General features: G+C 38.8%; 2 protein-coding genes across 8 annotated transcripts in view, besides 3 other annotated features; one reads left to right on the top strand and one right to left on the bottom strand.

The window, feature by feature from the left end:
* Positions 1–22,512, bottom strand: part of THAP5 (THAP domain containing 5) — a 28,010-nt gene extending 5,498 nt beyond the window's left edge. Inside the window, exons 1-3 of one of the 7 annotated variants that reach the window (XR_007059987.1) lie at positions 22,234–22,512; positions 18,574–18,766; positions 7,418–7,603 (exon numbers count right to left, since the gene is read on the bottom strand). Coding sequence is in view for 6 of the 7 variants with exons in the window: in NM_001130475.3 (NP_001123947.1) it covers positions 16,935–17,849; positions 18,574–18,766; positions 22,234–22,313 (1,188 nt within the window). In the remaining variant the exon portion in view is untranslated. Of the gene's footprint in view, positions 1–7,288; positions 7,604–14,875; positions 17,850–18,573; positions 18,767–21,842; positions 22,198–22,233 lie in introns of those variants that run through there. The other 6 variants (XM_047419934.1, NM_001130475.3, NM_001287599.1 and 3 more) reach the window with 6 other exon arrangements.
* Positions 22,033–22,512: an enhancer, noted in NCBI's record as "active region_26504". NCBI's record gives its function as "activates an Ori minimal core promoter by ATAC-STARR-seq in GM12878 lymphoblastoid cells {active_cell/tissue: GM12878}" and the evidence as "EXISTENCE:reporter gene assay evidence [ECO:0000049][PMID:35858748]".
* Positions 22,033–22,773: a biological region, named in NCBI's record as "NANOG-H3K27ac-H3K4me1 hESC enhancer GRCh37_chr7:108209746-108210473".
* Positions 22,046–22,773: an enhancer, noted in NCBI's record as "NANOG-H3K27ac-H3K4me1 hESC enhancer chr7:108209746-108210473 (GRCh37/hg19 assembly coordinates)". NCBI's record gives its function as "activates a minimal SCP1, AML or CMV promoter by ChIP-STARR-seq in primed H9 embryonic stem cells {active_cell/tissue: H9 hESC(primed)}" and the evidence as "EXISTENCE:reporter gene assay evidence [ECO:0000049][PMID:30033119]".
* DNAJB9 (DnaJ heat shock protein family (Hsp40) member B9) lies at positions 22,618–27,594 on the top strand. The gene is made up of 3 exons (NM_012328.3): positions 22,618–22,847; positions 24,461–24,687; positions 25,643–27,594. Exons 2-3 carry the CDS (start codon positions 24,471–24,473, stop codon positions 26,095–26,097), a joined length of 672 nt encoding a protein of 223 aa, NP_036460.1. The 5' UTR covers positions 22,618–22,847; positions 24,461–24,470; the 3' UTR covers positions 26,098–27,594.
* The last annotated feature ends 61 nt before the right edge of the window (positions 27,595–27,655 follow it).

Raw genomic sequence — 27,655 nt, forward strand, 5'->3', positions numbered from 1 at the left:
TACATTCTAGTCTCATGCCAGTGAATTCATTTTCATTTAGACTAACCAAGGTAGCAAGCTCAATGAAATTAACCTCATTTCACATTTATAATATTCTAGTTCATTGTGCATATTTAAACACCACACATCTTTATTAATGGAAAACATGAACCATGCACTGAATAAAACTAAAGATTAGGTTCTCTCTGAAATTAGCTCCTACTCCATTGCTTCTCATTTTGAATTATATTTCTGTAACCAAAAGCAAGACTTGAACTTACATATTATTTTCCAGCGATCCAAAAGAATACTTACTTAATCCCTAAATTTATTTTCTGATATTCTATATAGTAATTTGAACATTAAAAGTTATTTTCCCTAAAATTATGAGGCAGTATTCGTCTAAGATTTGTAAGAATTCTGTGTACAGTTTATCAAGCCTGCTTTTAGATATGGGACACTTTTTCTTTTAGTCCTAGTTCTATTCCTGATTAATTAAAATCACATAGTTGAGCTGTTGTTTGTGTATTAACCTGTCTAGAATAATCGATTTTCCATTTCTATGTTTCAGGGTTTTTAGATGATAAAATACGTAAAGAGCTTTTGTTTCTCTAAAGAATGGCACAAGGTAAGATGTAAGCTATTATTGCCCTGAGCAGTGGTGTTTAAATTTTGAGGGGTAATTTATCCCTTTCTTAATCTTAATAGAAATTGTGAAAAATGCCTATGCACATGAAATTTTGCATTAAATTTTAGAGGATCCAATGAGCCTCCTAAAAGCCTCCCATGGTCCAGTCCCCAACCCTGGAGGGAATGCTACTGCACCTTTTCTAGGTACTGGTTATAACATGCCAGGAGAGATTTAAAGTAGCATTATTTACACTACAATTCAAGTTAATAATTTAACAGGACCTGCCTGAATAATGGGACAATAATATACTCATGGAGCTGCAAATTGGTTAATTTATATGCTGACTGTCTCAATGTGGAGCCAGAATTAGACCCAGCAAAACAGCTCTTGAAATATGGCTTAGTAGGTGCTATTGTTCACCTGAAAAATATTTATGGAGCTCTGACTTTGTACTAGGAATTGTGCTAGACAATGAAGCTAAAAAGCTCATAAAAAGCTTATACTTTGGGGATAAAAAAACAAGTAAAGAAGCAATAATGACACTGGATGATAGAAATGATAATAGGATTAAGTAAAAGGAGCTAACAGACTAAATATGAAGGTTATCTGGAAGGGCAAATGAAGGCTTTCTAGATAAAATAACGAATAGGTCAGCCCTTGTATTAGTCTGTTCTCATGCTGCTAGTACAGACATAATCCAAGACTGGCTAATTTATAAAGGAAAGAGGTTTAATTGACTCACAGTTCCACATGGCTGGGGAGGCCTCACAATCATGACTGAAGGCAAATGAGGAGCAAAGTCATGTCTTACAAGGCAGCAGGCAAGAGAGCTTGTGTAGGGGAACTCCCCTTTATAAAGCCATCAGATCTCATGAGACTTATTCACTATCATGAGAACAGCGCAGAAAAGACCTCCCCCATGATTCAATTACCTCCCACTGGTCCCACCCAGGACACATGGGAATTATGGGAGCTACAATTTAAGATGAGATTTGGGTGGGGACACAGCCAAACCATATCAGTCCTGAAGGATGAATAGGAGTGAGCCCATAGCTCTTACACATATTCTTAAAAACCCAGTGTTCTACAAGCCTTATTGCAAACAAAACAAAACAAAAGCCTGCAGTCCTAGTTCATTTTCTGCTCTCCAGAGTCAACCGCTTCTAATCATATTGCAGATTCTTTGTGTATTTACCTATATTTCTCAAAATAACATGCTTAATACACACACACACACACACACACACACACACACACACACAAGTACTTTTTTTTTTTTTGAGTCTCGCTTTGTCACCAGGCTGGAGTGCCGTGACAGGATCTCAGCTCACTACAACTTCCACCTCCCGGGTTCAAGTGATTTTCCTGCCTCAGCCTCCTGAGTAGCTGGGACTACAGGTGCACACCACCACGCCCAGCTAATTTTTGTATTTTTAGTAGAGACGGGGTTTCACCGTATTGGCCAGTATGGTCTCGATCTCTTGACCTCATGATCCGCCCGCCTCGGCCTCCCAAAGTGCTGGGATTACAGGCGTGAGCCACTGCATCTGACCTATATTTTTAAAGTTTTGGATTTAGGCACTGTCTTTTTGACACTCCACTATGGTAGATGAGGATTTGCTCTGTTTAATTACCTTGTCATTCTACCCCTTGCTTCTGACCCAACCACAAACATGAGCATACACACACACCCTTCTATGTTACCTTCTATCTTCCCAATATACATTGTGTAAGTGGTTATATTGTATTTACATTATTTTGACCATGTAAATGCAGTTATGTATGAAGAAATGACAGTTTGATCTTCCATGCACATTTCATGTCAATATTAGTCTGGATTCTTTGCATAGTTTTCTCTGTGCTTTATCATTAATTTAACCCTAAATTCTACCCCAGATGAGTGAGTTTCCTCTCCAGATATTCAACACATTAGTTAATCTAATGATTTCCATCTTTGAAGAACTTTATGTTTCATTTGAAGAACTCGATGTTTCTGAGCCTCCAGACCTATTGTTGTCATTTGGACTGGTGGCTCTCTAGTAACGTTGTATTGGGGCCCTTCCTTCACCACCAGCTTGGAATTCCTTTTGCTTCTTTCTTGATTTGAATTTCCTTTTTTCCTATTTTCATCTCTAGATCAATTGAATAATAAACTATCATCTAGGCAATCATTCCAGAAGATAAACAGTTTTTTTATTTTCTTTTATGGCCTTATTTCCCTAGAATACATTTTCCAACAGCTTCCTTAGAAAGGGTCCAGAGGAGGCAATTTTTTGAGACCTTGGATATACAGAATCAATTCTATGTTTTTCCTTCAGAATTTTCAGATTATTAATCTTTCTTTTTACTTTTTGCTTCCAGTGTAGCTAAGAAGTTTGGAGCTACTCTATTCTTGACCCTTTGTGTCTTTTTTTCTTCTTGCTGAAGGTCTGTAAAATCTTCTGTTTATATTTATAGCTCTGACTTTAAAAAATAATGTGCCTTGGTAAGTACCTGTTTTTGCCCATTGTTCTCAGGACATAATGGGTCATTCCATCTGGAAATACATGTTCAGGTCCAGAAAAGTTACTTGCATTATTTCTGTTACTATTTTCTTTGCTCCATTTTTTTTTCTATTACAATTCTCTAAAATGCCCATTATGTGGATATTGAGTCTCCTGGATCTATTGGATTTCTAGGACTAATGTAACAAAATAGGACAGCCTGTGTGGCTTAAACAACAGAAATTTATTTTCACAGTTCTGAGATCAAGGTATCAGTAAGTTTGGTTTCTCCTAAGGTCTCTCTCCCTGTATTACAGATGGCTACTTTCTTCTGTGTCCTCACATGGTCTTTCTAGGATGCCCTTGCATCCCTCATGTCTCTTTGTATGTCCGAATTTTCTCTTCTAATAAGGACCTAAGTTGGATAGCAATAAGGCTCACCCTAATGGCCTCATTTTAACCTAATCTCTTTAAAGGCCCTGTCTCCAAATACAGTCACGTCCTGAGGTACTGGGCTTTACGGCTTCAACACATGAATTTTCAGGGGACACAATTCTTATTTGGGTCTCTTCCTTTCTATCTTTTGGCTTTTTTTGTTCTACTTTTTGGGAGATTCCTTCAACTTTAATCTTCTAACTCTCCTATTAACTTTTCATTTATAACATTTTAAATTACTAGAGCTCTTTACGTTTTTATAATATTCCTTTTCTAAAAGGTATCATGTTTTTGTTTTCAGAAATGCAATATAGCCTTTGCTCAGAAAGAACATGAACTATAGTTGGGTTCTTTCCCCTATGTTTTCTTATGACTACATAATCTGTTTTCGCTAAGTTGCTGTTTTTTACTTATTTATTTGGGCCATGCTATGGTCTGAATGTGTCTCCCAAAATGCATGTGTTGGAAACTTCATGCCCAGTGCAACAGTGTTGGGAGGTGGGGCTTTTTGGAAGGTGCTTAGGTCATGAGAGCTCTGCCATCATGAATGAATGAATGTCACTATATAAGGGGCTTGCAAGAATGTGTTCCCTCTCTTTCACTCTTCTGCCATATGAGGACACAATGTTCATCCTCTCTCACTCTTCTTCCATATAAGGATGTGGCAAGAAGGCCCTCATCAAATGCTGGCGCCTTAATTTTGGACTTTTCAGCCTTCAGAGAAATGTTTTTCTTTGTAAATTACCCAGCGTCAGGCATTCTGTTATAGCAGTAGAAAATAGACTAAGACGTCCACATCTTTATTATTAACTGCTCTTCTCAATTGTCTGTTGACTATCAGTGGACAGAACATTTAAAAGCTGGTGAAAAACTCTGTACCTATGGATGAGTCTTGCCCTGAGTTTCACTGTACAGCAATGATTCTCAACTTTTGCTGTTCATTAGAATCACCTGGAAAACATTAAAAAATATAGATGCTCAGGCTTTAAACCAGACCAATTGAATGAGATTCTCTGAGAGTGGAGCCCAGGCCAGGAAAAGTTTCTAAAACTTCCCACGTGATTTTAATGCACAGTGAGTGTTGAGAATCACTGTTGCAGAGTGGCTTAGCTGGACCCAGTTGGAGTCCCCTACCCGATGTTAAATATTTTTGTTCTTTTTTCTTGGGGCTTGTCAAATTCTCCAGAGAATACACCTTCAGTCTTATGCCTGGAGGGTATACACTTGGTTGCTAGAGATCTGGGAACTGAAACTGAGTATGTGATAGAGGCTAGGTGGGGTGGGGGTTGGAGCTCACCATTCAGTATATACACTTTCACTTAACCTCTGTTTTCAGTATAATGCCCCTGCCCAGCTAGAGACCCTCTGTTTTAACCTCTTTAGAGAATAAACTTCCAATCTTTTGCCAGGTAAGGAGCGAAACAGCTACCAAACTGTGTAGGGTGACTACCGCTTCTTAATAAACTTTAACCAATCCTCTTTTTTTTTACATGCCTTAAGCACCCCACACTCCCCAATTCCAGAGGTATCTGTTGATTTCAATTACTAAGGCTTTTGGGTTCTGTAATAATAACTGGGTTTACTTGTTGGCTTTCCTTCATGTTGACAGGAATCTCTGGACCACAAAGACAGCTACTACTCATACATCTACTTTCCAGCTTCCAAAATGTTGTTGTGTTTGCTTCCTCTTTCACTTTGCCCTCGTGGGTTTTACCTTTTAAAAGTATCTCTTAGGCTGGGCATGGTGGCTCACGCCTGTAATCCCAACACTTTGGGAGACCAAGGGGCATGGATCACCTGAGGTCAGGAGTTCGAGACCAGCCTGGCCAACATGGTGAAACGCTGTCTCTACTAAAAATACAAAAATTAGCCAGGTGTTGTGATGCACACCTGTAATCCCAGCTACTCGGGAGGCTGAGGCAGGAGAATTGCTTGAACCCGGGAGGCAGAGGTTGCAGTGAGCCGAGGTCACGCTATTGCACTCCAGCCTGGGTGAGAGAGCGAGACTCTGTCTCAGGGGAAAAAAAAAAATCTCTTTACCGTTGTTATAGTAGGATATGAGGTGGGAGAAGAGCTAAATATATTTGTTGCATTTGCTATCTCAAATGGCAAATTACATAAACTCTTCATACATAAAATAGTACTTTATTATATTCTAGCTTGTACATAGATTTCTGTATTTCAGAAGAGTTGGTGAAGAATGAAAAACTAGCAGTGGCATAAAAAATAGAACTAGTAGAAATAAATGAAGAGGCATTCCCATCAGGAATGGAGCCACTAATTTTCTAAGGCTCTGTTTCTTAAAATGTGGTCCAAGAATCACACACAATAGTATTACCTGACACTTAGTAAAATGCAGCAACATTTTTTCCTAGGTCTACTAAATTACAATGTCTTCAGTTGAGGCCCTCGATGCTGCTCTCTTAAATTTTTTTTTTTTAATAGACAGGGTCTCGCTATGTTGCCCAGGCTGGTCTCAAACTCCTGGCCTCAAGTGATCCTCTTGCCTTGGCCTCCCAAAGTGCTGGCATTACAGGCACTGAGCCAGTGTACCTGGCTGATGCTGCTCTTACTAACTCTGTCCTACAGCTCTGTCTCTAGTTCTTAACTTAGCTGAAGGCCCTCCATAAACCAGCATAACCGTAATTGCACTTCTAGTGCTCCCAACTATATTTTGCCTAATTCTGTCCAGGAACCTTTATTTGTACTTACTCTTTGGAACTCCACTTCTCCTTCCATGGATTTGAAATTTTGAACCTTTGTTTCCTGTGATTGAATTGTGACTGAATTGTAAGAACTTCAGTTTCCTTTTGCCCATACCAAAAACATAGGTCCCAGTTCCTGAAAACTCAGTCAAGAATAAAATCCAGGGGTGCTGCTCTCAGACATAGGGTAATTTGACAGAGGTAAGCTCCTGCTCGTAGTAGTGGCAGAGAACCTTGCTGAGGATTGCCAGAAGCTTCTGCCCTAAAAACAAGAGGGCATATTTCCCAATGGCAGCTCCATACTCTTCCTAGCCCTGCAGAATTCCTGTTGTCCATCAACCTCTAACTGCCCTTTCTCTGGTTGCCACTGAGTGACCATGAAATAGAAATACTCATGTGATTGATGGCAAAGAGACTTAGAATTTGCAGACTTTTCAACCATGACATATACTATATTTTGAATGTGTCCTTCAAAGAGCATGTATTGGAAACAATCCCCAATAAGGGCAGAATGAATGGATTAGTGATGTTATTTCAAGAGTAGATTCATTATAAAAGGGTGAGTTTGGCCCCCTAACTTTCCCTCTCTTTGCCATTCTGCCATAGAATGAGGCAGCAAGAAAGTCCTATCAGATGCCAGTGCCTTCATCTTGGACTTTCTAGCCTCTAGAACTGTGAAAACAAAAAACAAAAAACAAAAAACTTTCTATTCTTTATAAATTACCCAGTCTCAGGTATTTTGTTACAGCAGCATAAATTGGATGAAAACAACATGTGATGTGTATTTACAGTGATCTTTATATGCTTTTCTCTTAATAAAATATTGGGAAGTAATGCATGCAAAAAGGATAGAAAGTCTTCATTGATTAGAGTAGATTTTTCAAGATGAGCTGCATTGAGAGTGATGTGGGTAAGATAGGAGACACCAAGATAAAGGGTGGAAGCCCTGACGTAACTGACAGATTAGAGAGTTTAAACTTAGTGCAGACTCATTTTAGGCAATTCCAGGTCAACCTCTAGCTAGAGAAATTAGATTAAAAATACTGTCAAAAATATCATGGAAATTAATAACACTTTAATATGTTAAGTTTTTTACATTACTAGTATCCAGAGAGGAAAGAAATGACTATGGTAAGCAATTTCAGTGCTATATTATATATAGATCTTCAAGTAGCCTCATTTACCTGCATCATCCATCCATCCATCTAGTCTATTTCTCTGAAGTGTACTGTCACTTTTTCATTTGTGACTCAGAGAAATCATCTTTTCCTCTTTATTTTCATACCTAACTTCCTTATTCTTCACTACTGTAGTCTGTTTCTGGTGTATGTCCCCCTTCTCAACACCTTCCTTTTACGTTTTAGCTGTATCTATCAAAACAAAGAGAAATAGAGAGATTTTAAAAACAATAAATTGTACTGAATATTCCAGATTTCAAACATGATCAAAATCCATTTTGTGTTTAGTTTAGCCATAAATTTTCCAGGCCTTATTTACACCTCTAATCCACAGATAGTCATTAATCACTTAAAAATTTTCATTATAGAGCCTATTTGATTGTTGTTATATATAATACTGGCTTTTGCACTGTTAAAATATACCTACCTAGGTTAGAGAGCCAATATGCTAATTAGTGACCATTAAAAATGGTCAAACCCATTGATTACTTACAAACAACATTTTTTTTTTTTTTGAGACAGAGTTTTGCTTTTGTTGCCCTGGGGGAGTGCAATGGTGCAATCTTGGCTCACTGAAACCTCTGCCTCCTGGGTTAAAGCAATCCTCCTGCCTCAGCCTCCCAAGTAGCTGGGCTTACAGGTGCCCGCCACCATGCCCAGTTAATTTTTTTTGTATTTTTAGTAGAGGAGGGGTTTCACTGTGTTGGCCAGGCTGGTTTCAAACTCCTGACCTCAAGCGATGCACCCACCTCAGCCTCCCAAAGTGCTGGGATTGCAGGCGTGAGCCATTGTGCCCGGCCCCAAACAACAGATTTTTAACACCTTCTTTCAAAGGAAAAAGACAGCATAAACTTTAATGTTGTATTAGTCTGTGTTCATGCTGTTATAAAGAACTACCTGAGACTGGGTAATTTCTGAATAAAAGAAGTTTAATTGACTCACAGTTCCACAGTCTGTATAGGAAGCATGGTTGAGGAGGCCTCAGGAAGCCTACAATGATGGTGGAAAGGTGAAGGGGAAGCAAGCACCTTTTTCTTTTTTTTTTTTTTTTTTGAGACAGAATCTCACTCTGTCACCCATGCTGGAGTGCAGTGGCATGACCTTGGCTCACTGCAACCTCCACCTCCCAGGTTCAAGCAATTCTTCTGCCTCAGGCTCCTGAGTAGTTGGGATTACAGGCGAGCACCACCATGCCTGGCTAATTTTTGTACTTTTTGTAGAGATGGGGTTTCACCATGTTGGCCAGGCTGGTCTCGAACTCCTGACCTCAGGTAATGCACCTGCCTCAGCCTCCCAAAGTGCTGGGATTACAGGCATGGGCCACTGTGCTTGGCCCAAGCACCTTCTTCAGATGGCAGGGCAGGAGAGAAAGGAGGAAGTGCTACACACTTTAAACAACCAGATCTCGTGAAAACTCATTCACTATCATGAGAACAGCAAGAGGAAAGTCCACCCCATGATTCAATCACCTCCCACCAGGCCCCTCCTCTCACACATGGGGATTACAATTTGAGATTAGACTTGGGTGGGGACAAAGAGCCAAACCATATCATTCTGCCCCTTGCCCCTCCCAAATCTCATGGTCTTCTCACATTTCAAGACACAATCATGCCTTCCCAACAGTTCCCCTAAGTCGTAACTCATTCCAGCATTAACTCAAAAGTCCAAGTTCAAAGTCTCATCTGAGATAAGTCAAGAACCTTCTGCCTATGAGTCTGTAAAAATGAATCAAAAACAAGTCATTTATTTCCAAGCTACAGTGGGGGTACAGGCATTGGGTAAATGCTCCCATTCCAAAAGGGATAAACTGGCCCAAACAAAAGGGCTACAAGCTCCATGCAAGTCCAAAACCAAGCAGGGCAGTCATTAAATGTCAAAGCTCTGAAACAATCTCTTTTGACTCCATGTCTCATATCCAAGGCATGCTGATGCAAGGGGTGGGCTCCCAAGGCCTCGGGCAGCTCTTCCCCTGTGACTCTACAGGGTAAAGCACCCACAGCTGCTTTCATGGGCTGGAGTTGAGTGCTTGGAGCTTTTCCAGGTGCATGGGGGAAGCTGTCAGTGTATCTACCATTCTGGGGTCTAGAGGACAGTGGCCCTCTTCCCACAGCTCCACTAGGCAGTGTCCCAGTAGGGACTCTGTGTGGGGGCTCCAACTCCACATTTTCACTGTGTGCTGCCTTAGTAGAGGTTCTCCATGAGGGCTCTGCCCCTGCAGCAGACTTCTGCCTGGACATCCAGGCATTTCCATACATACTCTGAAATCTAGGTGGAGGCTTCCAAACCTCAACTCTTGCCTTCTGCACACCCACAGTCCCAACACCACATGGAAGCTGCCAAGGTTTGGGGCTTGCACCCTCTGAAGCAATAGCCTGAGCTGTGCTTTGGCCCCTTTTAGCCACAGCTGGAGCTGGAGCAGCTAGGATGCAGGGTGCCATGTCCCAGGGCTGTGGGCCTGTCCCATGAAACCATTTTTCTGTCCTGGGCCTCCAGGCCTGTGATGGGAGGGGCTGCCACAAAGGTGTCTGAAATGCCCTGGAAGCCTTTTCCCCATTGTCTTGGCTATTAGCATTTGGTTCTTCTTCACGTATGCAGATTTCTGCAGCCTTTTATTCCTCCCCAGAAAATGGGTTTTTCTTTTCTACCGCATGTCCAGGCTGCAAATTTTCCCAAGGTTTATCTGCTTCCCTTTAAATGTAAGTTCTAGTTTCAGGTAATCTCTTTGTTCATGCATATAAGTATATGCTGTTAGAAGCAGCCAGGTCACATTTTGAATGCTTTGCTACTTAGAAATTTCTTCTGCCAGATACACTAACCCATCTCTCTTGACTTCAAAGGTCGACAGATCCCTAGAGCAGGGGCACAATGCCACCAGTCTCTTTGCTAAAGCATAGCAAGAGTGACCTTTATTCCAGTTCCCAATAAATTCCCCATCTCCATCTGAGACCTCCTCAGCCTGGACTTCACTGTCCATATCACTATCAGCATTTTGATCACAACCATTCAACAAGTCTCTAGGAAGTTCTAAACTTTCCCTCATTTTCCTATCTTCATCTGAGCCCTCCAAATTGTTCCAACCTTTGCTCCTTACCCGGTTCCAAAACTGCTTCTACATTTTCACATATCTTGATAGCAGTATCCCACTCCTGGTACCAATTTTCTGTATTAGTCTGTTCTCACACTGCTATAAATAACTACCTAAGACTGGTTAATTTCTGAAGAAAAGAGGTTTAATTGTCTCACAGTTCCATGGGCTGTACAGGAAGCATAGTTGGGAAGGCCTCAGGAAACTTACAATAATGGTGGAAAGGCAAAAAGGAAGCAAGCACCTTCTTCACTTGGTGGAGTGGGAGTAAGTGAAGCAGCAAGTGCTACACATTTGTAAACAACCACATCTCGTGGAAACTCATTCACTACCACGAGAATAGAAAGGGGAAATTTCCCCCATGATCCAATCATGTCCCACTAGACCCCCCTTCCTCCAACACATGGGGATTACAATTTGGCATGAGATTTGGGTGGAGTCAGAGTCAAATCACATCAAATGCCTAAAATGAGAATCATATTTAAGTTCTTTTAAGGGCAAAACCCATGTCATTTTCAACCTAGCAAATCTTGAAAAATCCACTTTATTAATCAATAAAACTTTCCTGCCCTTTTAAGGGCCACTTGTAGATAGTTTTATGTGTATATATGTATATGTGTGTGTGTATGTATATATATATATATATATATATATATATATATTTAGACAGAGTCTTGCTCTGTCACCCAGGCTGGAGTGCAGTGGCGCAATCTCGGCTCAGTGCAACCTCCGCCTCCTGGGTTCAAGCAATTCTGCTGCCTCAGCCTCCTGAGTATCTAGGATTACAGGCACGCGCCACCACACCTGGCTAATATTTGTATTTTTAGTAGAGATGAGGTTTCACCGTGTTGGTCAGGCTGGTCTTGAACTCCTGATCTCGTGATCCGCCAGCCTCGGCCTCCCAAAGTGTTGGAATAACAGGCTTGAGCCACCGTGCCTGACCTCTAATTTTTTAATCTTTTATTTTCTTTTAAATATTATTGTAATATCTATTTCAAATATACAGAAATATCTAAATGTGTGTTCATTGATATAGCATATCTGTGTGGTTATCATGAAATACAAAGTAGTTTTGATATTTTTATCCTCTTAGATATAACATGTTATTAAAAAGTAAAGGGAATAACATGTTAACAATTCACTCAACATATTTTGCTTGCTTATGTTAAAATATAGTTTAAAAGACATCTATAAGAACATTTAAAATACATTTAAGATCTGTCAGTTCCATTTGCTATAGTGAAATATTCATCATGTTTCTATTACCTGAATGTATGCTATCAAGCCCTTCTGAAATGTATGTAATGCTGACAAAAGTACAGTGCTGTATCACAATGCTTAAAGGGGGAACAAAACACAGATAAATACAGTCATGGATGGAAAAGCTAACACTTTGGTAAAAGTTACTGCATAGATACATGAGATTGAGTCAATATCACAGCCAAAAGCTCTGGGATGCAGGGCAGCCTGGAGGCCCTTGACATAGGGTATGGGAGCTAGACGGAGTCAAAGACAGAATGAAAGTCTGAATAGGAATGTTTGCTTTAGAAAATGACTTCTTTCTAGCATGAAAATACGAGAGTGTTTTCTCTTATTAGACGAAGGTGTAGTCTCTATGGAGAGAGGAAATAAGTGAATACATTCACTAGTGATGCAGGAGAACAAAGGGTCACTGAATTTAATTAGACATTGCATACTATTCGTATACATGCCACAAATACCATTAAGAACCTGAACCTTGGAACCAAACAACTGATGTGCTAACAGATTAATGATGTATTGTTCCTTCTCCTTAAGTTTTCTACAAAAGAGATTGTGAATGAAGTGAGATTACTATTTGTATTAGTTCATTCTTACACTGCTATAAACAAATACCTGAGACTGAGTAATTTATAAAGGAAAAGAGGTATAATTGGCTCACAGTTCTGCATGGCTAGGGAGGCCTCAGGAAACTTACAATCATAGCATAAGGGGAAGCTGGCACATTTTACATGGTGGCAGGAGAGAGAGAGAGTGAGCGAGAGTAGGTGGAAGAGCCCCTTATAAAAATCATCAGATCTCATGAGAACTCATGATCATGAGAACAGCATGGGGAAAACTGCCCCCATGATCCAATCAGCTCCCACCAGGTCCCTCCCTCAACACCTGGGGATTACAATTTGAGATGAAATTTAGGTGGGGACACAAAGCCAAACCATATCACTATTTTAGAGCTTCTTTTATTAAAACTTTAAATATTTATAGTTTGATCTTAATATCTTCAGGTTATTTCAGAATTGTTTGGGGATGTGAATAGCTCTAAATTTATTATGTTAAAACTATTTATTAGTTCATATTAGCTTTAAACCTACTCTCTTATAAGATTACATGTTGTCTTGTACAGTACTGCCTGGTTCTTACTTTCTCTGATGGCTTAGTAGGCCACTTCTTTAGTTACAAGCTCAAGGCAAGGCATGAAGGACCTTGTTTGCAAAGGAGAGAATGATGTACAAATGATGTCATTCTCATATAGTTCATATTTTACAGCAGCACAGAACTAAAGCAGTTACCTGCTTGCTCACCCACAGCCTCTTTTTCAAAGGGAAACTGCTCCTTTTCAAGGCTTTACTGAGGTAGATGAGTCTGTTCTATACCATGTGACCCTTCCCCATCATATTCACTGGATGCAACTGCAGCCTATAAGACAGGACCCAAAGGATGCCAACTCACAGGTTTACTACAGACCCACTGGCTTAAAAATATATGCAAGGTCCAGTTGGATCCCTCTTTTGGAAATCTGGAATTTAAAAACCGAATGACTGAGCTAATTAACAGAGGAAGCTGAAGATTCATAATGTAGAGAAACTTAGGGGCCTATTTGTAAACTGAGATATAAGGTTTGGCTGGGAGAGAGAGTTTGAAACAGATGCCATTCAGGAGGCAGTTGACATGAGGGAGCCTCTTTTCCAGATGTCTTCCAGAACCAATTACTATGGGGCACAACTGTACTGCAACTTTTTTTCTTTTGTGACAGGGTCTCACTCTGTTGCCCAGGCTGGCGTGCAGTGGCGCAGTCATGGCTCACTGCAGCCTTGACCTAGGCTCAAGAGATCCTCCCACTTCAGCCTCCTGAGTAGCTAGGACTAAAAGCACCGACTACCATGCCGAGCTAATTTTTAAATTTTTTGTAGAGATGGGATCTATGTTGCCCAGGCTGGTCTCAAACTCTTGGCCTCAGGTGATCCTCCTGCTTTGGGCCCCCAGAGCGTTGAGATTACAGGTGTGAGCCACTGTGCCTGCCTGTACCGCAACTTCTGTGTTTGGATTCCCGAGACCCTGGTTTGAGCCTTTCAGTTCTGTTCTTCCCTGTTTCCTTTCTTGAGCTGGATTGAGTTTCTGTTCCTTGCAACCAAAAGAACCCTAACTCAAATCCTCTCTTGCATTAAAATGTTGCTTTGGTCACTGACTGAAACCTTAGGCATGTGCCATGGTAGTGATGAGAATGAAACACATTCTAAATTTGGAAACAACATACCATTTTTTTTTTTTAAAGACACGGTCTCACTTTGATGCCCAGGCTGGAATGCAGTGGCACGATCTCAGCCCATTGTAGGCTCTACCTCCTGAGCTCAAGCAATCCTCCCACCTCAGACTCCTGAGTAGCTGGGAATACAGGCACGCACCACCATGCCTGGCTGATTTTTTTTTTTTTTTTTTTCTAGAGACAGGGTTTCACCATGTTGGCTAGGCTAGTCTTTAACTCCAAAGTTCAAGCAATCTGTCTACCTGGTCCTCCCAAAGTGCTGGGGTAACAGGCATGAGCCACTGCAACTGGCAGGATGAGCTAATGATTGTTTTGATTTTCTAAATGAAGCATGTGATGAGATCCTCATCTTGGGCAAGCGGGAAGGAGAGGCAGGAAAGGAAGGGAGGAGTGAGAGACAGAATTTGAGTGTGGGGTTATGAACTTACTAGAAAAATACAGTAACACTGCTGGGCTCATCTGATTTGTGGTCATGAATTTATAATCAAGTCTGTCCAATCGTGATTTTTTTCTATTCTACCGGCTCTTCTGATGTAGGAAGAGAAAAGGCAAAGAGATATTTGAATTCAACCAGGAATGTAATTTAGGCAAGTGAGAACAATAGGCAACAGAGCAATGTTGTTCAAAGTTTTACCGGAGAATGATTATTATGGTCCAGAAAGTCAGAGTAAGGATGGACGTGAATACAGAAAGGGTACTGTTTTTCAGATTTTGAAATATCTGCAGTACACTTAACAGCTGAGCATCCCCAATTCAAAAATCTGAAGACTGAAATGCCCTAGTGAGCATTTCCTTTGCGTGTCATGTTTGTGCTCAAAAAGTTTCAGATTTTGGAGCATTTTGGATTTTCAGATAGTCAACTTTTACTTATAATTTATTAAAGAAATAAAGCTAGTTTAAATTTTTTCTGAGGAACCTGTAACTTTCAGAAAATTACTACAATGTACACTGTTGAAACTTAACATATCATTACTTTATTGTGACTCAAGATTATTTTCATCTGTATTAAATTAAGTATTTGCAAAATGCAACATAGGAATACTTAATAACACTGTAATAACTCTATCATCTCCCCATAATTTATGCAAAAATTTTAAGTTTTTCCCCCATCGTCACCTAAGACATTTCTAATCTTTTATAATTAGTTGACTCACTTTCATATAGTACCAATTAATATTAGCCTAATGAAACTAAGTCAAATATGGCCAAAAATAATCATCATGCATTTACAAAACAATATTATTTGCCAGTCAGAGTCAACTTTTATTGAGCACCTCCTATATTCCAGAACCAAAAACATGTTTGTTCCTTACAAAATTCTCAAAGCCACTCTTTAAGGTAAGTAATAGTACGTTCTACTTAACAGATGAAAAAACTAAGAATCAGACTGATACAACTTCCTCAACATCATAGGCAGAAACATAATTATACTGACTGCCAATTTTAAGAAAACATCTATTTGTTACATTTGTGTCATTACTACAAAATCTTTGCTTTTACAGTTTTCTTAAAATCATGTGAATATAAACAGTATTTTTATTTACATTACCATTACTTCTCTTTTCTAAGAGAAATTCTTTGTCTCCCTAAGATCATGACCACTTATGTATAATTTCTTGCTTATAAATTTTAATAAAATATACGTAAGTGGGAATGTACAGTATTAAGTATTACTCTATTATTCTGGAATTTAACAATGAATAAGCACATATTTTAAAGGCCACACCTACTAAGAAACAGATACAAACTGTAATTTCTAAAATATATTTAAAATTAACCTCATTAAAATTTTTGGTTTATAAGTTTAACTGTATAAATACAGAAAGTTTAGCTTAGATGACTATGTATTTGATGGTTAGCCACATATAAGTTACCGAAATACATATTCTTTCAAGTTTGAAGTACCTCTCCTAAGAACTGGGCTAATGGGTGGTTCCTTAGTTTAGTTCAACTGGAATAAAATTATAAAAGTTCTATCTTGGCCAGGCGCGGTGGCTCACGCCTGTAATCCCAGCACTTTGGGAGGCCAAGGTAGGTGGATCACCTGGGGTCAGGAGTTCGAGGCCAGCCCGGCCAACATGGTGAAACCCCGTTTCTACTAAAAATACAAAAATAAGCTGGATGTGGTGGTGTGTGCCTATAATCCCAGCTACTCGGGAAGCTGAGGCAGAAGAATCACTTGAACCCGGGAGGCAGAGGCTGCAGTGAGCCAAGATCAGGCCACTGCACTCCAGCCTGGGTTACAGAGTGAGACTCCATCTCAAAAAAAAAAAAAAAAAAAAAAAAAAAAAAGTTTATCTTCCTTTCTATTACAGATAATATAACTGTAATATGTAACTATAGCCAAAAGGTCAAAGACCACAGAATTCAATAAATACTGAAAATAATACATGGTTAATATCATCAAATTCTAGCCAACTTCTAGTATTACGTATATATTATCTTACAGAAAATGTGTTCTAATAGAATTATCTTAATAAAAAGGGAAGGGACTATAAATAACCAATTACAAATCCAGTAAGTGCTTATTTTACAAATTAGGGACTGAGGCACAATCATAAGTAACTTGCCCAAGTCATATGCCAGTGGTAGAACCAGGACTGATTCCTGAACCTGACTTCTAGTCTGTGCTCTTTGAACACTTCTTTGTTTTCTCATGTTATAACTGAATCCTTCTATGTGCTAAATTTTAATTTGGAAAATTATCAAGTAATAAAACTGCTTTTCTCTCCAGCCCAACTCTCTGGTTTTTCTTAAATAAGTATTACAAGAATAGGATACAGTTCATAACTTTACAACACTCTCATAGGTTCATTAAGATGAGAACTTTATACAGGAAACAGTTCACTTTACATGTAGTTTGGTTTGGCTGGAAAAAGCTTATTTAACAGCCATAGTTTTAAAACCTAGTTATTCTATATCATAGTGACTTCATATGTTGTAAAATGGTTTTCTATAATCTTGACGTTTTCTTCAGATAGCCAGTTTTCCTGCTTTAGCTGCCTTATAAGAGCTTCCAAAGACTTCAATCTACCTAGAGTTTGTTGCTCTTTTAACTCTAGAAGAGTTATCTTTGAATGTAGCTTAGAGACTTTCTGCCAAAGATGTTCCTTATTTATATCTTGTCTGCAGTAAGAATGTTCGATTTGTAAAACTTCTGTCCCATAGTCTACATCCTTATACAAGGAGTCTTCAATGTCTGTGTCTTCCATTTCCGTGGTTTCTTTTTGTGCAGATATAAAAGAATTAACTGAGGGTTTAGAATTTTCAGCAGGTACAAAAATGGCAATAACAGATTCTTTATTTGTGTTTAATTCTTCAACTGTTTGATTAATTGTGCTGAATAAGAATGGATTTTCCTGTGCTGACTTTATTTCCATGGAATTACTTGTAAAGTTTGGATTAGCAAGATGACTGGTAGTTACTTCAAGAACTTCTTGAGTTTCCAAAGATTGATGAATACTTTCTGAATTTGAAGTTGTCAAAGTAATAGTTGTAGAATTTAGATTCTCAAAACATGTGTGAAAACCACCTCTACCTGTATCTTGGTTAACTGATGTTTCCAAGGTAGATTCTGGTTTCCCAGTATGTTGTTTAACTAGATTAAGAGTTAACATGTTATTTTGTATACTTCCTGTTTTGGGAGCTGGTGGCTTTACCAAGGAAGATGAATGAAGTAATTCTGGATGTTGATGGGGCACATCTGTGTTAACTATATTTTTCTTTGTCTCATTTAATACAAATGATTCTTCTGACTTGGCTTTTGGGCATACTTCTTTCTCATCTTCCAAGTTTTTCTTCTGGGATTTTTTTTTAGAAGGGTCTTTTCCCTAGAAAATAATATTTTCATGTTCTGAAAAAGATGACTTTTATTGGCTTATTATGCTAGTGCTATTTAATTATAATATTGAGTAGTACACTGGCCAAGCAAATTTATTTAGTTAAAAAAAAGCTCAGAGTATATATACCTTAAAGTATTTTCTAAAAAGCATTAATCCCATTCAATATACGGCAGAAACATTTCAGATCATTCAAAAGACTAGTATATTGGGAGGCCAAGGCAGGCAGATCAACTGAGGTCAGGAGTTCAAGACCAGCCTGGCTAACATGGTGAAACCCCCATCCCTACTAAAAATACAAAAATTAGCCGGGCGTGGTGGCAGGCGCCTGTAATCCCAGCTACTCAGGAGGCTGAGGCAAGAGAATGGCTTGAACCCAGGAGGCAGAGGTTGCAGTGAGCTGAGATCGCACCACTGCACTCTAGCCAGGGTGACAGAATGAGACCTTGTCTCAAACAAAAAAAGTATAAAAAATAAAACTCATGAACTTGTGTTAATAACTTAATAATGTATATCTCTTGCTTCTCTTAAGCTGTGCTTCATGAGTTTAATTTTTTTTAATTATCACTTTTAGTAAAAGCACAAATTAGTGCTCCCTTTTTTCCAAGTATCTGTTTACCCAAGTTATAGTTCCCTCTTACTCTCCCACCTGATCACCTGCCACCCTGAAATCTGCCACTCTGCTCAGCATTACCCCTCTCCCATACTGCAATACCTGATTGTCTTCAGGCAAAGAAAATATTGTTGGAACTGCAGTTTGTTTTAAATATCGAATACCCCATCTGATGTCAAGAGAGTCAGGAGTAAAATGGTCACTACATAGAAACTGGTATTTACTGGGAACCCATGAATCTCGCTTCATATTCTTTAACCACTTTTCCAGTCTTTCTTTGTCATGTAGAGGAAATCTGGAATTTAAAAAAAAAAGAAGAAAAAAGGAAAAACTTTGCTATATTTTTACAATTTTGCCAAATTCCCACCCTATATATCTGGGTAACCTATGCATCAAGTAAGTACTACAAGAGGAAGGCAACCATCCCTACCAAATAAGAGCATCTTCATGACAACTAGTACCATTATCATCTCTGCAGTAAGAGGCCTAAGATGTAAGACATGTAGCCAAGGCTCTTATCTGATAAGAGCTGAACATAATTCAGAGTCCCTTCAAGTAAAATATATGTGTTCCTATAAAGGACAAAATCTATTTGTATTTTCTATGGATTATGTTCCATTTTTATATTGCTGTACAGTTTGCCTAGAACTAGAAAAAAGGTTTGTATAAATTATAAATTCCTATTCAAATGTATTTCATAATACCACCACATGTCAAATGGCTTGTTGTCTATAATTCAAGGCAGTATTAAGCTTTACAATCTTATTTAATATTTAAAAAATAAGATGTTATTTCAAACAAATGATTTAGCTGAAAAAGTACTGAAAATATTCTCTTTACTAGCATCATCTTTAATTCTATCTATAAGTAATCTAGTCTAATAGTACTACACTTCTATAACCAATGAACTGGGAACTCCAAATTTCAAGTTCTGAAGGAGAAACTGATAGAAGAAAAGAATGGAACATGTTAAAAGGGACAGTCTCAGATATTTTATATGAAACAAATCAAATACAAATGGCAAGACAGCGCTGTATACATTTTGTTCCTGTACCTGACAATAACCTGGATTTAAAGTTGGTGCTAACATTACAGTGTATGGCAGAATTTGATAGAAAATTTTTCCTATCAATCTAAAAAGGTTTGGGTCAAGGTATACAAAACAATATTTGAAAATGGTTTATATTCCATTTGGTACTTTTCCAAGAACAGAGTCCAAGACACCACATAATTTCCTGTTTTTAAAAATAGTAACAATATAAGGTTTCTCATATAAAATGTAGCTGTTATACACTCCCTTCCCGCAATCCCAATCATTTAGCTTATGTTTTGTAGTAGCATCATTTTTTCCCCCTAAATTCTGGTAACTTTTTAAGATGCCATGGAAAGTCTGGGTACTCTGTAAGATATAACTTTTAATCCTGATATCCTCATACGGAAAAAAATCAGATAAACTACCTTTGGAAATTCCAACCACAGAAGCAATATTAATCATGTTTTAAAAATATTTTAACTTTACAAATATTAGGTTGTAAGTATGACAAGCATAACCAGAAAAGGAATTTTAAAGGCAGACAAATTTTCTTTTAGAGGACCTGACTTCTTCTGGCCATTGGTAAATTCATTTCTTTTGTTACAACTGAAATGAGAATAGGCCTTTTACAATAATGCTTTTTACTGTAAATTCATGTATATGGATGCTGTTTGCAAATTATTTCCATTGTACCTATATGCTAAGTTATCAACTCATTAAAAAAAACTTTGTGAATATCCTTATTGTTTACTGGATTGTATTGCTTCAATAGGTAAATCTCTAAGAAATCTTGATCATGTTTCCTGAATAAATTATGTCTTTATATTGGTTCAATTCATTTGATAATTTTGTTTCATTGTCTTATGTAATTCCCCAAAAGGCATAAGATAATCACAGTACAAACTGGACACTATATTAACTGAATTCCCAAATTCATATACATTTAAACTACAGTTTGCTGTAGTGTTAACATGAGCAAATTCAATTCAAGTTTGACGCTACTGGAGAATAAAACTAATTCAATTTTTATTTTGTGGATTACACAAGAAAATTTTTTAAAAACCCTAGAAATAATACAACTTTTACTAAATTCACATTTTCAGTGAAAAAAATCTTTACAATTCACTTGCATTATTTTTTCCTTCCTAAAAAGTTACTGTAAGGTCCACAAAGTTTAGTTAAAAATTTCAGTGTGGGGTTATACCCCATCTCCAATATCAAAGGCCAAATAAATCTGGGAAATACGGGGTTAAATCAAGTTCAACATGATCTTTTGCTACAAACATTCTCAGAGATAGAGCCATTAGTACAGTAGTATTTCCCTATAAACTGAAAGTGGATTAGATTGTTTTCCTCCCCCAAACATCTCTTTGCATCTTGAGGCTGGGCTTCAAGGGAGACAATCCTGGAAATATTGCCATGGATTGTGAATTACTTGGGGTTATCAGTTTTTTTTTCTTTTGAGACGGAGTTTCGCTCTTGTTGCTCAGGCTGTGGTGCAATGGTGTGATCTCGGCTCACCTCAACCTCCACCTCCCAGGTTCAAGCGATTCACCTGCCTCAGCCTCCCGAGCAGCTGAGATCACAGGCATGCGCCGCCACGCGCAGCTAATTTTGTATTTTTAGTACAGACGGGGTTTCTCCATGTTGGTCAGGCTGGTCTCAGACTGCCGACCTCAGGTGATCTGCCCGCCTCAGCCTCCCAAAGTGCTGGGATTACAGGCGTGAGCCACCGCGCCTGGTGGGGTTATCAATTTTTTTTCCATTAATTAAAATACTGGAAAGCAGCCGAATCATTAATGAATAAGTCCTTCAGGTCTAAAGTAAAATGAGCACAAAACAACTGCTGAAAATCTGAACCAGGTTAGATCTAAATGAATTGTTTTTAAATACAAGAAAAAATGGAAATGCAGTATTTTAAATATGTTGCTTTTCATGTGTTATTAATCATGTGAGTACTATTAACATCTCCATGTTACAGATGAGATATGTGAGACACCAAAGCTTAAATACTTTCCAAGAGGTCATTAAGCTACAGAATAGTGGAACCAGGATCTAGCATTGAAGCCTGGACCCCTAATTATTATACGACACTGCTTGTCTGTACTTCTGAATAAAAATCAGTGCTTCAGTAGTTTGATGGAAATATATCGTGGCTCTAGTAATTCAGAGTAACAGAATAAAACCTTGTTCTCCGCAGAGTATCTACAGCCCTAAGCAGAAGACTAGTTTATAATTCTGGCTCTGACACTAAACTTTCAAGGTCGGTTACCTAATCATTCCGGGCCTCAGTTTCCTCAGGAGAAAAGTGGGATGAAATTATACCTATGCGACCTACCTCGCGGGGGGTGTAAATTAACTTTGCGTGCACCTTTCCACTTCGCAGGTTTCACGTATCTTAAATGGTGGTTAATGTTGTTCAATGAAATGAGATCACGTGAAGTGGGGAAAAGACTGAAAACCACAGAAGCCCGCGCAAACTTTACTGTTTTAACTGTTAACACCCAAACAGGCTCCTGGGCCTCGCCACCAGCCAGCAGTCCTCGCGCAAGAAGGGCATTGCTAGCTAAACTGAACTAGCGCCTTCCCTCCGTCTTGCCGCGGGCGACGGGCCACGTACGGAGAGCTGAGGACTCACTGGCAGAGCGGACAGGAGACACCCAAGCCCAAAGGCCACAGGTCCAAGGCCTCACGGCGAGGCTGACGCTTCTGCTCCAGAAACAACTTACGGATAAAAACTCAGCTTCCGGTCTTTATTGTTTCGTCCCCGGCGGTTCTTACAACAAATCGCTGCGCAATAGCGGGGCATGACTCGGGTGAGGCCCCTGGAGACCGGGGCCGGCGACGGATGCAGGGCGGCCCTCCTCACTGAGGATGCGCCACAGGTCCAGGCCTCTCGAGCCCCTGCGCCTGCGCTAGCATTCTGCCGGGAAAGCCGCCTCGTCTGTCGACTCACTTCCGCCTCCTCCGGTTTAAGCACCGCCTTTTCGGGGGTTGAAGCCGGAAGTGGCGCACAGCCCTAGCAGCAACAACAGTTTTCCACGTGCGCGTAGGGCGCCGGGATCACGTGGGGAGGCAGAAGCCAATGGGGAAGCGTTTCGTGTAGGTCTTCTGAGGTGGTGGCGCCAGCGGCTACCTCCTGCCTGTGAGGAGCTGGCTGAGAGGGGACTGGGCGCCGGCGGGGAAGGAGGAGCGCTAGGTCGGTGTACGACCGAGATTAGGGTGCGTGCCAGCTCCGGGAGGCCGCGGTGAGGGGCCGGGCCCAAGCTGCCGACCCGAGCCGATCGTCAGGGTCGCCAGCGCCTCAGCTCTGTGGAGGAGCAGCAGTAGTCGGAGGGTGCAGGTGAGGGACGAGGCCGGGGTCGTGGGGAGGGGAGTTCGGAGGGTCCCCGTAGCCCAGGCCTGTCTTTGTGAGCTGACTTGGCCTCGGTGTCCGCCACGGTCGCCGCAGGGACAATGGGCTGCATGTTTTTGGCCGAGAGAATGGAAGAACGGAGACAGCCGCATCACAGAATCGTGTTTTGGGTTGTGGCGCCGGCTTTCACGGGCGCCGGATTAGAGCCCGGGTCTCGGGCAGCTTCTGCGGCGGGGCCTGGGCGGGCAGGGAAAGTGCCAGTCGCCTTTAGGTGAAGGTTGGAGGGTCTAGCCCAGCCGCCCACCGAGGCTGGGGAATAAGGCACGGGCTGCTGGCTGGCGGGGCCGTCTTGGGGATGAGAAGTCTGTACAATACAAAACTAGTCTGCTAAAAAAAAATCATTAGATGTCCACCTTGAGACCGTGGAATAACGTCTGCTGAACCAGTGAGGCGCCTCCCTGTCAGTTTTAGATCCGCCCTTTGACTAGGGAGCAACCTGCAGTTGACGCAGCGTCCATGGGACACACTGTTGTGTTCCTTAAACCGAGAAGTGGTTCTTGATTCTTGGTACCCGTGACTACGAGTAACTCTCTGGAAATAAGTAATCTACCTGCCTGCTAATTACTCTCAGGAAAGGCCGCTGGAGAGGAAGCCAGGCAATTTCCACAAACCGTAGTGTTTTTCGTCAGCCTTATTATGGCATTATAGGTTACTAAGGACTCTGGTGGTCCCGTATTCAAAAAACAGGATCCATCCCTTCGTTTTGAATCTCAAGTCATTGAATACATATTGTCAAGAATTCTAAGTTAACATTTCTTTAATGGTTTAAAGGTAAAAGAAATATTTTAACTACTGAGTTTGTGAAAGTAAGAATCTGCCTTAACCACAGTACAAACTATCAAAGTTCATTTTTCTGGCAGCTTTAGCAGAAATCTTAAATTCTGTTCATCATGAGTTTTAAACAATATTTAGCCATGCTTCCTGGTTAAACATTTGGGATCTTACATTTGGGAAAAAGACAACATTCTATTGTATTGTCAGTATTAGTATTGTGATATTAAGATTCTCTATTTGCAGTCCTTGGCTCACCTGCTGAAATGAAAGCTGAATTTTTGGAGCGAGATTAATAATACTAATTTAGATATACTGGGCTATTTACCTTGGTGCGCCACCTTTTTTTTTTAATGTTTTTTTTTTCTGTGAAGTTAAATACATTATTACTTTCAGGATATGAAGTCTTGAAAGGAAAGTTGGGATCTTATATTATTTGGTTTTCTTTTTTTTTCTTACAATGCTTGCATATGATGAATCTTCAATATAAACTGGTTAAAAGTCAGTTATTGATAATTTTCTATCTCCTCTGTGTATGGCCAGAGTATTAGTAGACAGACAAAGCCAAGAATTATTTTTGTTCTCAATAAGGTTAAGCCAGTTTGAGAGTTATAAAACTAAAAGTGAAATTACATGTGGACAGGTAATAGATACTGTATGCTTACTATTTTGATACTGCATTAGGTTTACCTTGTGTTGGATTTCTTTTAAAAGAAAAACGTTTTAAGATTAGCTCCATCCATAACATTTTTTTTTCTTTTCTGTTTTAGGATATTAGAAATGGCTACTCCCCAGTCAATTTTCATCTTTGCAATCTGCATTTTAATGATAACAGAATTAATTCTGGCCTCAAAAAGCTACTATGATATCTTAGGTGTGCCAAAATCGGCATCAGAGCGCCAAATCAAGAAGGCCTTTCACAAGTTGGCCATGAAGTACCACCCTGACAAAAATAAGAGCCCGGATGCTGAAGCAAAATTCAGAGAGATTGCAGAAGGTAAATAAATGACAATCTCTGAAGTGTCATGGGTATTAACTAGTAAGGAGAATGATAGCTAAGAAGTGTTTGTATTTGAAGGTTTTGTGGAGATGGGAGGTGGAGTGGGATTTATGTATAAATATTGGGTGATTCTCTGAGATTATTTTCTTATCACAGATGCTTTGATTCCTGAATAAATATATGAAAGAATAATAGATAATTTTATTGGTATACGTATCTAAAAATATTGAAAATCTATTCTATATTATTTATAAGATCACTGTTGCTTCTATGACAAAAAAGAATTTTAGGTACCCAAAATTCTTATCAACTAACTTATGAAACAGAATATTTTACATTTTAAACATTAAAGACTTAAAAATTAAACTAGACTCTAAAGTGCTTTATTCACTTGATCTGCTTTTCAAAGCCATATTTGTCTTCAAAGAAAAAATTGGAACAAATTTTGACTTCAGACTAGCTCTAAAACAAATTGCACCTGCTGAGCATTCAGTAATTATTGTTGGATGGAGGTAACTGAGTAGGGAGTTAGAATTAAACAGTTTACTTTAGTAAGGAGGTGCAAAATCTTAATTCCTATTAATTGGTTATAGTTGATGGTTTAATTTTTTAATACAATTAATGATTTCACACGAATAATATGAAGATTAAAGAACTCTGATTGTTGCCCACATGTTTATTTGTAGTAATGGTAACATTTAATAACTTTATTGAGTATTGCAGATGGCATTGTGCCAACTGCTGATAACTCAGCAGTTAATAAGACAGTTTCTGCTTTATTTTATAATTTTGATTAACTTGATGCTTATATTTGTAGTGTTTTGCTTTTATTTCTGATGCGAAATTCTTCCCTAAAATAATAGTATTCAGTTCACTTGCTTGAAGAGATTTGAATATATGTAATTTTGAATATTTTACCTTCAGTTACTAAAAATATTTTTGTCACTTTCAGCATATGAAACACTCTCAGATGCTAATAGACGAAAAGAGTATGATACACTTGGACACAGTGCTTTTACTAGTGGTAAAGGACAAAGAGGTAGTGGAAGTTCTTTTGAGCAGTCATTTAACTTCAATTTTGATGACTTATTTAAAGACTTTGGCTTTTTTGGTCAAAACCAAAACACTGGATCCAAGAAGCGTTTTGAAAATCATTTCCAGACACGCCAGGATGGTGGTTCCAGTAGACAAAGGCATCATTTCCAAGAATTTTCTTTTGGAGGTGGATTATTTGATGACATGTTTGAAGATATGGAGAAAATGTTTTCTTTTAGTGGTTTTGACTCTACCAATCAGCATACAGTACAGACTGAAAATAGATTTCATGGATCTAGCAAGCACTGCAGGACTGTCACTCAACGAAGAGGAAATATGGTTACTACATACACTGACTGTTCAGGACAGTAGTTCTTATTCTATTCTCACTAAATCCAACTGGTTGACTCTTCCTCATTATCTTTGATGCTAAACAATTTTCTGTGAACTATTTTGACAAGTGCATGATTTCACTTTAAACAATTTGATATAGCTATTAAATATATTTAAGGGTTTTTTTTTTTTGACAAATTCAACATTCAACGAGTAGACAAAATGCTAATTATTTCCCTGATTAGGAAAGTTTCTTTAAAAAACACGTAATTTTGCCTAGTGCTTTTTCTCTACCTGCCCTTGGGCTCACTAATATCACCAGTATTATTACCAAGAAAATATTGAGTTTACCTGATTAAACTTTAAAAGTTAATTGTAGATTTAAATTGTGTGAACCTAATGATTTTTGCAGTGAAACCTTTACTAATTCAAAGTTGCATGTTCTATGACATCTGTGACTTGCGTTGCAGAGTGTACATGAAACTGTATAATTGAGTCATTCAGTAAAGGAGAACAGTATCTTGGTTAATTGCTACTGAAAGGTTGAGAAAGGAATGGTTTGATATTTACCACAGCGCTGTGCCTTTCTACAGTAGAACTGGGGTAAAGGAAATGGTTTTATTGCCCATAGTCATTTAGGCTGGAAAAAAGTTGAAAACTTAACGAAATATTGCCAAGAGATTGTTATGTGTTTGGTTCCAGCCTAAAAATGATTTTGTAGTGTTGAAATCATAGCTACTTACATAGCTTTTTCATATTTCTTTCTTAGTTGTTGGCACTCTTAGGTCTTAGTATGGATTTATGTGTTTGTGTGTGTGTAGTTTATCCTCTCTCTCATCTTTATCTAGAGATTGACTGATACCTCATTCTGTTTGTAAAACCAGCCAGTAATTTCTGTGCAACCTTACTATGTGCAATATTTTTAAATCCTGAGAAATGTGTGCTTTTGTTTTCGGATAGACTTATTTCTTTAGTTCTGCACTTTTCCACATTATACTCCATATGAGTATTAATCCTATGGATACATATTAAAACAAGTGTCTCATACAACATTGTATGTGAGAGAAATATAAATATTTACAACCTGATATTCGTTGTTGTTTTATTGTTAAAAGTTTATTATGCAACTCTGGAGGTATAGAGGGCATATAAGCTATGGGACATATGCTGATCACAGGCTATATTCATGAAGTTACTTTTGACCAACCTGAAAACTGATAGGATTTTGTTTGTCATTTGGTAATTTCTACTGCATTCTTACCATCCTTCTCTCACAAATTTTGATAGCTTGAAGATCTTTTTAATTATAATTTTGTTGTATTTGTTTCCTAGGAGCAAGTGTTCCTGCTGCCAGTTCTTTCCTCTTTAGGCGTGGTTGAGAAAAAGCAGAAACTTTACATAAAGCTGTATTTCTTAATCATCTTTAATTTGAAACTTAAGAAAATGAATTTATTCTGTTATATTTATGTAACTTATTTCCTGGAAGTTATATCTACTAGTTTTGTTTGATAATAATAAAATTAGCTATACCTTGAATTTTGGGCTGAGGATTATCTGTAGCCTATTTTAAAAAAAATCAAGTTTTGAGACATTCCAG

Source organism: Homo sapiens, chromosome 7 (genome assembly GCF_000001405.40).
Source record: "Homo sapiens chromosome 7, GRCh38.p14 Primary Assembly".
In the NCBI taxonomy this organism is placed as follows: domain Eukaryota; kingdom Metazoa; phylum Chordata; class Mammalia; order Primates; family Hominidae; genus Homo; species Homo sapiens.

Bases quoted from the DNA above. Each gene is read 5' to 3' on its own strand.
- DNAJB9 (NM_012328.3), top strand. From the start codon at position 24,471: ATGGCTACTCCCCAGTCAATTTTCATCTTTGCAATCTGCATTTTAATG. The intron at 24,688-25,642 runs GTAAATAAATGA...TGTCACTTTCAG, and splicing joins ATTCAGAGAGATTGCAGAAG to CATATGAAACACTCTCAGAT.